General features: G+C 43.7%; 1 long non-coding RNA gene across 1 annotated transcript in view, besides 1 other annotated feature; it reads right to left on the bottom strand.

Moving 5' to 3' along the window:
- The window catches only part of LOC102723321 (uncharacterized), an 88,963-nt gene that overhangs the window by 34,671 nt on the left and 44,485 nt on the right, over positions 1-9,807 (bottom strand). The window lies entirely within an intron of this gene.
- Positions 1,250-6,442: an enhancer, noted in NCBI's record as "VISTA enhancer hs2126". NCBI's record gives its function as "enhancer in: heart[5/6]" and the evidence as "EXISTENCE:transgenic organism evidence [ECO:0001131][PMID:17130149]".

The following is a 9,807-nucleotide window of genomic DNA, read 5'->3' as shown; positions in this document are numbered from 1 at the left end:
TTATATGCTGGACTACAAAAAGTAACTTATAGTAAGATTTCAACCTCATGTATGTCTACTCTCATTTTCTTTCTTTCTCCCTCCCTTCTAAAGCTTCATCACTAAAGAGCATAAGCTGGTTGGTAATAGAGTGAACACACTCAAGTTGCAGGCCTCTTTAGGCCCATTTCCTTAAATTGCTTCCTCCAGTGCCAGATAAGACCAGAATGTTTCATTCCAATGGCTCAAGTGTTTAAGTGGTTAAATGCTAATAATACTCCTATGTAAAATCATAGTATGAATGGGTTTCAGATTTTTTCCTAATAGCAAATTGCGATACCAGAGAGAAAAACAAAAGAACAAGGACGGTAGGCACCTTGCAGGCATCTTGAAGGATTGCTGTCATGATGTGGAAATCAGGAAAACAGCGAGGCTGGAGGGAGCTGCCCACGTCCCAATCCTCAGGAAGTTCTGGAAGCCCCTGCAGTTGGTCCTTGATAATAAACAGATTTTTTAAAATCCTAGATTTTTAAGTAGAATATGATTAAGGATTTTCCCTTTCACTGGTCACTTGATGATCATCAGAGATAGGTAGAGTCTATAGTTTTTTACTGTTTCAAGTGGAAAATATTGTCACTCAACAAAGAATTATTGACCAGCTATTTTCAGGTAGGCATTATGTTAGGCTTTAGGAGTATAATTTTAGAGACCAGACATGATTTCTGCCTTTTGGATCTTAGAGTTTGGTGGGGAAGGCACTCTAACACAAATAAACAAATAAAATAATTTTTTTGTGTGTATGTGTGACAGGGCCTCACTGTGTTGCCCAGGCTGGAGTGCAGCGGCGCGATCTTGGCTCACTGCAAACGCCGCCTCCTTGGTTCGAGTGATTCTTGTGCCTTAGCCTCCTGAGTAGCTGGGATTACAGGCATGCAACACCATTTTTAGTAGAGATGGAGTTTTGCCATGTTGGCAAGGCCGGTCTCGAACTCCTGGCCTCAGGTGATACACTTGCCTCAGCCTCCCAAAGTGCTAGGATTACAGGTGTGATTCACCACACCCAGGGCTAAAGAAAATAAATTGTGACAAGTGTCATGAAGGGAACAAGGGGTTAGCAAAGGTGGGCTGAGAGATTCTAGTATTCAGATAGGGTAGCGGAAAGTCTTTTCTGAGGAGGTAACATTGAAGCTGAGATGTGAAAGTTTAGAAGCCAGGCACTGATGCGCAGGGGAGGAACCCAGGTGGGTGAATCTAAATTCCTTCCAGAAAATTCCAGAATACAGCTGTCCCTTATCTCAGTTTAGTCCAACATTTTTGAAAGACAGAATTCAAGCAGTAACTAAAACAGCATGGTTTGGCGCCAACTGTAGCAAAACACACATACCTCTTTCTGCAAAAAATTCAAAGGACAGTAATCTTTTTACTCAAGGAAGCAGAAGGGGCATATGTAAAAGATCTGAATTAAAACAAGAAAATATATGTTAAGTTCTAAAAGCCCTATTTTTTTTTCATGATCAGGAAGACTGTCAGAATCCACCAGTATCAATTCTGATAACACACTTTGGGCCTTCTAAACTAGGCCTATTCTGTGGGGTAGGGCTGGAGAGGGGAGGCAGGGGTGCTCGGGGACAGAAAGGAGTACAGTCCAGGCTTGTTGGAAGAAGACTATATCCAAAGGGGCTGGGAAAGAGCCAGCAGGGCATGGCCCAGAGTAGCCTTAGCATCAGGGAAGTCAAAGCAGCAAAACATCAAGTACACAGAGAGGTGGGGAATGGGGAGGGTGGAGGAGCACATAGCAGGGAAGCCAAGCCGTGGAAGTTGTGTAAGACACCAGACAGGCAGGCAGGCACTGCTGGGGACATGTCTCAGCTGGCAGTAGGGCCCCAGACCCTGATCTGGATTTGGAGCTGGACTTCCAGACTCAGGGAAGGGAGTCTGACATGGGCAGAGCGGAACTTCACCCTAGTAGCTGGGTTACTAAGCAAGGCACTAGGACAGAGTCTTGGATAGAGTACAAGCAGGCTCTTGTACTCTTGTGGGGCCCATTATCAGAATTACAGAGCTGCAGATGAATAAACTGAGTCAAGCTCTTCATGGCAATATATATGATGTTTATAGATACAGTACCTTCAAAGCCTTAAACCAAAGGAATGACAACCATGAGACTTCTAAGCACCTCATCAAGCCGGCGGGTGGGGAGATGATTTGGGGGTTGGAGGCTAATGCTTTTCTTTATCTATCTCCACCTTCAGCTAAGGGCAGCACAGCCCCGGGGGAGGCCATCGCTTGGCAGCAAGACTCAAGCCCCCTCAGTCCCTTCAACCTGACAGAATTTTCCATTACCCTGATTCAAGGCCCTTATGGGACTGCGTGCATGTACTTGCTAACAAAGGGTTTCTCAGAGAAAGTGAGAACTAAGCAGGAACCTTTCAGGAGTGTTCATCGCCCTGGGCTCTGCAGCCTGGCCAAGGCTAAATCCCCTCCAGCAGCAGCTGCTGTTCAGCTAACGGGGCAGGATAGAAAGTTATTTTATACCTTCTTGGGACTTGTCTTTAAATGTGATAAAATATAACCTGGAGGGGATTACATTTACAAAGGTTTGAGGTAAAATTCCACATTTGAAACCATTGTAAAAGCTTGTGCAGGGTGTAGTTGGCTGGGGAAAAGTCAATTTAAAAACCCTCACATATTTTAATAGTAATAATGAAATACACCTTCAATTATTAAGTGCTTGCTGTTTTCTAGGCATTGTGCTAAGAGATTTTATGAATTGCTATTTCATCCTTACAGTAATCCTTCAAGGTTATTTGACCCCATTTTACAGATAAGGAAACAGACTTAGATTCAGTAACTTGCACAGCTACTAGGCAGTAGGATTGGGATTTAAACCTGCCTTATACTTCTCTTAAGTGCTCATCACATATTCTTAAGTAAAAAGGCAAGACACAAAATTGTATGTGTAGCATGATTACGATGTGCAAAAATAGGCATTTATGCTTGGCGTGGTACTGCGCATCTATAGTCCCAGTTATTTGGGAAGCTGAGGTGGGAGGATCACTTGAGCCCAGGAGTCCCAGGGCAGCCTGGACAACATAGCAAGACCCCTATCTCAAAAAAAAAGGCATTTATAAGAGCAAAGACTTGAGGGCAACAAACAAAAATGAAAGCAATTTGGTGGATTGGTGGGGGTGCTTTAATTCTCTTAATTTTGTAAACTATTTTAATGTAATGATGCTATTTTTGAAATTAACACACTTAAAATATATTTATATTCAACTTTTGGGCTAAATTTGGTGTTCCCCTGGGGTGGCTGCCAGGAGCTGCCTTTCAGTTTCTGCAATCCTCATGCCTGGGAAAATTTTTTTGTTTGGGCTCAGACTGTCACCCTTAAATGGGATATGGTTAGCAGGAGGTGCCCACCCCAGGGTTCTGGCAGTCAACTGTGTGACAGCGGATGGCCCACCAGCTGTGGCCTCTGGGAATGGCAGAGCACTAGAGTGAATTGGGAGGCAAGGCTTCCCCCATGAACCCTTCTTACACATCCCAGTGTGGTGACCGCCCACTGCACACCATGTCAGGGCCACGGGCAGGCACCGTTTGGGAGGATATCTGTAAGAGAGAATCCTGCCCTCAACCACTCGGGACCTTGTAGAGGAGGGGAACAATGCCATATTACCAGGGAGCAGTGCTCAGTGTGGTAAGAGGAAAAAATGTCACTGAAGGTCTTCAGAGGAACGGGAGAACCTGGGGAGGAGGAAGAGCTCAGGAAGGGCTTCATAGAGTTGGTGGCACTTGAAATTGCCTTTGAAAGAGGAATAAGATTTTCTATGTCAGAGGAGAAGACTTCCCGGTGGGAGAAAATGACACAAATTAAAACAAACAAACAAACACCAGCAACAGAACCGATAAGGAACTGATGTGTTCCAGGAGCTGGGAGGAGCCCTGAGGGAGTGAGGCCAAGAGGTGGGATGCGCAGTGGGGGATGCTGGACACTTTCACTCTGTAAGTGGTAACGACCTGTTGAGTTTCTTTGTGTGTTGGGAGTGGGATGATCAGGGCTACACTTCAGAGTTACACTTCAGAGTTGCAGCAGGTGAGACAGGGAAGACTGGTGGGGCTGGGAGAGGGGTCAGCATGAGCTAGGAACACAGGCAGTAGGACTTGGTGACTGGTCAGGTATGGGGTGGGGGATGGTGGTAGGAAGAAGTCAGGAATGACTAAGAGGCTTTAGGTCTTAGTCATTCAACAAAATTTATTCCATTCACTTATTTAACAAACGTAAGATTCAGGCCTGCTGTATGCCTCATGCAGCACCAGGACCTGGGGATTCAGAGAGGAAAACTGCGGTCAGACAATTATTATGCAGTAGAGGGATCATGGGTGTGTTAGACCCTTCTCTGCTTTACTACAGATCCTCTCCGCCTCACCTGCCTCTTCTTCCAGCTGTCTGGAAACCATATGGATCAATTTCACATGGGTGCAGCTGACTGCATCTGACTTCCCCTAGGATTTCCCTAAGGAAGCAGTGGTAGAACCCTGCTCAGTACTTTCCCCAACACATGGGCAACCTTAAAGTGTGGGCCTAATGCAACACATGGCAAACCTCTGTTCAGTGGGTTTGTCTCCACCCCTGTCCCACTCCCCTGGTGGTTCTGAGATCTGGATGATAGGGCTACTCAAGGGTGTGGTCCTGTGGATTGAGCAGCCAGTGACACTTAGCAGTGTCCTGCTTGATGACACATCTTCCTATTGAGTCTGTCTCCTTACCTGTCTTTCTCACCTCATTCCCTATTGTTGCCCCTAAGACTATACACTCTATTGATGTGTTAGCACATCAGCCTTTGCCTCAGGCCTGCTTCCTGGAGAATCCAGACTGAGCCAATGATTCCGGTTTGAAATGTAGCTTTCCTCATTCTACAATAGTATGACATTCAGACCAAGCCTGGAGCATCAAAGTTAGTAGGTATCCTTCACTGCTAGAACAAGTATATGTGTGTAGGGAAAAACATTCTGACATTTGATAGTATTCTTGCCAGCATTTATAGGGATTTTTAAAAATTCCTGTGGTTTCCTGTGTGTGAGTCTTGTCTACCTGGATAGACCTTTCCCTCCAGACCTTGTGCCTTGCAACATTTAGGACAACGTTAGGCAGGCAAGAGATGCTGGAAAACATCTGCCATGTTGAACTGAAGTTGTTCTTTCTTATTTTTCTGGATTCTACCTTGTCTTTTGCTGATTCACTTTATCTACAAACTAGTTTCCAAAAGGGCATTTTCTTCCTCTCCTTGTGCTGCCTGTGCATGGTGAAATACAGCACCAATGGAAACTTACACTGAGCATGAAAGCATGACCACTTTCCAACAGACACAACGGTTTATCCAAAGAGCTCTCCTCTCCAGACAGTGGCTCTGAAGGCCCTGCTTGGGAAATATCCAAGCTTGTTGCTACTATCATGTCCCTATGTCCTCCTATGTTTCCAAGACATCCTGCCTCCCATCCCCCACCACCACTGACAAACTGTGACAGCCCCCCAGTTTTATTTGAATTTTCTATCAGAAAGGAAATTAAAATGTGGAAAGAAACAGTTAATCAAGGACTTCCCTGTCACTAACTTGTCTGTCTTCTTCCCTGCCCCCTAAAATAGTCTCAAGATTTTAGGAAAATAAAAAATTACTACACACATACTCACACATGTTGGGGTCCCTATTTTAATATGTATAGCAGCCTTTAACCCAGTGGGTTCTGTGGGAGTGGGAGGGGGCAGCTAAAATGATGGTGGCCTTTTGCTCTGCCTCCCATGTCGGGCTCAGGCAGGAGAGCTGAGAGTGTGGAGGTGTTGAGTTCAGGACAGCCAGGGCACTTCAGCTGGTTAAAGAGAGTGAAAGGTGCCCTCTGACAGCTGGGTCTGGGAGCTGTCAAGGCATGGATAGAGCTGCTCTGTGTAGCAGCTAAGCTTTCAAAGGGAAACACCTCTGGCTTTTCAAACATGCACTTTCTGCTTCCTTTCCCTGGCACCTACTTAGACCCTGCCATTCTAAGCCCCCATGCTCATTCCTTCCAACACTTTCCATCCACCCCACTGACTTTCCCTTCCCATACAACAGAGCACTGGGTCATGGAGGTTGTGAGATATGACTCGCCCTCCCAACTATACTCTGGGACATCAGAGAGTACATCTGACGTTACTTTTCTGTTGCCCTCTGTCCCTAGCACATGAGTCACAGGATTTTATAATGGTGAGGAGCCCCTAGCAATCACATTTAACTCTTATTTTCCAGGAAACTGAGCCTGGAAGGAGCAAGAGTCCTAGAACCTCAGGGCTGAGCAGTCATCTAGCCTAACCTAATTGCTGCTATGATCTCTCCACTGCCTGCCAATGGTCTTCCACCTTCTTCTGAGCATTTCCACTGGCAAAGCAGCAGAGTGGTTAAGTGGACTCGGCCTGGTTTCATGGATCTTTGGGTCAGATCTTAGCCTTGCTACTTAACCTCTTTGAGCTTGTTTCCTCATCTGTAAAAGCATCTAACACATAGGATTACTGTGAAGATTAAATGAAGCAAGGCATGTAAAGCACTTAGTATAATAGCTTAATAAAGTGATTGCTGAATAAATATTAGATATGCTTATGCCATTTCCCAATACAGCCCAGCCTATCATTAGGTAGCTCTGTTAGAAATGTTTTAGTTTTCTTTTAGCTGAAATCTTTGCTCCTAGAATTTCCATCTTGTTTGAGTTGCCCAAAGTCACCCAGTGAGTTAGAGTTGGTGACAGAGGTGAGACCAGAACCCAGTTCATTCCACAAGGCAGGCTGTCTCTGAAATACTTGCTGCATGAATGAAATGGACTACAATTTGCCATAATAAACAGCTGTTATCATTATTCCCATTTTAGAAGCTGAGACAACAAAGTGGTTTTCCCAAGGCCTCAGAGCTAGTTAGTGATAGAATCAGTTACAATCCCATGTTTCCTTCTAGTTTGATGTTCTGTCCCATCACAGGTGCAGCTTTAATGAGATTCTCTGTGCTCCTTCTATCTTAGCAGGCCAGAGAGAAGGATGTGTAGATGAAGATAGACAGCAGCCTGCTACGAGGTCCCCTGCACATACTTTCCCATGCTACAGGACCAGGGTTAAAGGACAGGAATAGTTCTGACCTGTAAGTGTACTTGCATCAAAACTGCAAACACATTTTGCTCCCAGAGAGCCTATCTTGTAGGGATGATGGCTCAAAGTATGGGGTACTCCAGTGGAAGCATCCTGGGGAGTCAAGGACAAGATAAGTACCCTGAGCACCTGAGGGGACAGCTGGAAGATTGTTTAAAAGGGCATTTACCAATTCTATGGCACAAGGGTGGATTGAGCACAGGCTGAACCTCACACTTTCATTCCACATTATATATATGATATGGTTAGGCTTTGTGTCCCCACTCAAATCTTATCTTGAATTGTAATTCCAATAATCCCCATAAATCCCCATGTGTCAAAGGAGAGACCAGGTGGAGGTAATTGAATCATGGGGGCAGTTCCCTCATGCTGTTCTTGTGACAGTGAGTGAGTTCTCACAAGATCTGAGAGTTTTATAAGGCGCTCTTCCCCCTTTGCTCGGCACTTCTCCTTCCTGCCACCTTGTGAAGAAGGTGCCTTGCTTCCCCTTCCACCATGATTGTAAGTTTCCCGAGGCCTCCCCAGCTATGCTAAACTGTGAGTCAATTAAACCTTTCCTTTATAAATTACCCAGTCTCAGGCACTTCTTTATAGCAGTGTGAAAATGGACTAATACAATATGATAAATTGAGTATTTAAAACTCCATCCATACATAAAACGCTAGGAAGAGATGTCTTCATGGACCAAAAATAAAGTTTCTACCCTTAAGAAAAGGAGAAAAAAAAATATATGGAAGGAACTTACAGCCACAGGGAAAGACTGGAGCCTCATGATCCATGGGAAGAAGAAACACATAAGCATCATCAAGGCCATGGTTTCAACACCCAAGCAAGGATAGAGGCCACTGTTCTAGTTGGGAGTCCTATTATTGGCAAAGGGCCTGAACCAGAATCCCTGAATAAGTGGATACCTAAAGAAGGAAGTTGGAATAGCTCTGTCCTATTTTCTGGAATTGCACACAAAAACAAGGTGCCTACCAGAGGCTAAGAAAGAAAAGTCACCTGCATAATACTCAGGCATAGACCTTTGTGGTGAGTTCAGAGCTCAGTATTCTATTTTCTCAGCGGCTGAGTCTTGAGCCAAGCTTCAAACATAAGCCCTACTTTGGTGCTGTGCATTGAAACTGCAAATGTGCTGTGCAGTGAGGCCATCATAGTCCAGGGGTACATATGGAATAAAATGTCATGGAAGGGGTCATGAAAAATTGATTGTGGTGGTAGATTCACAGATATTTACATATTCTGAGAGCCATTGAGTTATACTTTAAATGGGTGATTTGTGTGGTATGTGAAGTATATCTTAATAAAACTGTTAAAAAGTGCCACGGAAGACAAGCTCAGAATTTGAGCTTGATAAAGCATTTGAGGAAAGTCAGCACCATGAGTCACCATACACAACCAACTGGAAAATCACACCTGAGAAAATACAAATAACAGAATAATCTGAAAAAAGACTTTAAAATACGTTGAAAATTCTTACAGAAATAAAGGATGGAGTAGCACCCACAGAAGAAAAACAGGGTTTATGAAGCAAGAACACGGAGATAAAAACAGAAGTATATCTTTAAAATGAAAAATACAGCATTTAAATAAGAAATGGTTAAAATTAAGATTTGACAGAACTGAAGAGAAAATGAGTGACCTGAGAAATAGAACTGATGAAATTTTCTTACAGTTTCAGCACAATGAATTAAAAGATAGAAAACCTGAAAGAAAAATTGTAAGACAGAGAGACACTCTAATATAGTCTAATAAGAGTTTCAAGAGAGAAGGGAATGGGAAAGAGTCAATAATTGAAGATAGAATGTTGGAAATGTTTCTAGAACTGAAGAAAAAAATTAGTATCTAGTTTCATAAAGCTCATCAAGTGTTAAATGATAGATTTGTAAACTCCACATTATAGATAAACTATAAAACATTAAAAATAATAAAAATTTCTAAAAGTTATGGAATAGACAAAAAAGTACAGCAGATTTCTCATCAGCAACAATGGTAATTCTTTGGTATAATGTAGAGGAAGGAATCCAATGATTTAGGGAGACAGGGATGTTGGAATGTATTGATCATGTGGAACCCCACTTATTTACCCCTTAACTTTGTCCTAGTAAATGGGAATATAGTGGGGGTCACCCTTCTTGCCTCTTTCAAGGCTTTGACGGTGGTTCTACTGTGATTCTACCATAAATGGGGCATTGCTTTGGTCCCCTATTTCGGTTGGGTAGTTCCAAGGATTCCGCTTTCTTTCTACTGTGATAGCCCGCATTCTACAGGTCAGGGAGAAACATGAAGATTCTATTAGTGTTTTGGTATCTTTATTACCAATATACACTCAGGAACTTGGGGTGAAACTACAGGATGTGTTTGTGGACCTACTGGGACTACTGTGATAAGGACTTAGAGTAAATTCCATGTATTTCCTCCTCACTATCTTGGTCAGGCAGGAAGCCTGAGCTAAAGCCACCTACCCTGATACCTTTGAGAGAGTGAAAAAATAAAAGTCTCTAAGTCACAACACCCATTCCCCAAAGCCCCCCACCCTGACTGGTGTGTTACAGTGATGTTCTGGGTCGTCAGGGTTTAGCTTAGAGCTAGTGTTCAATAAACTCTGAAAAGGTCTGAGAATTTCCTCTCCCCCAGTGCACAGTTATTTGGGAAATGGCTGTAGG

The sequence above is a fragment of the Homo sapiens genome, chromosome 1, assembly GCF_000001405.40.
Source record: "Homo sapiens chromosome 1, GRCh38.p14 Primary Assembly".
Taxonomy (NCBI): domain Eukaryota; kingdom Metazoa; phylum Chordata; class Mammalia; order Primates; family Hominidae; genus Homo; species Homo sapiens.
Note: the sequence above shows the minus strand (reverse complement) of the source record. Positions and strands in the feature narration are given on the sequence as shown.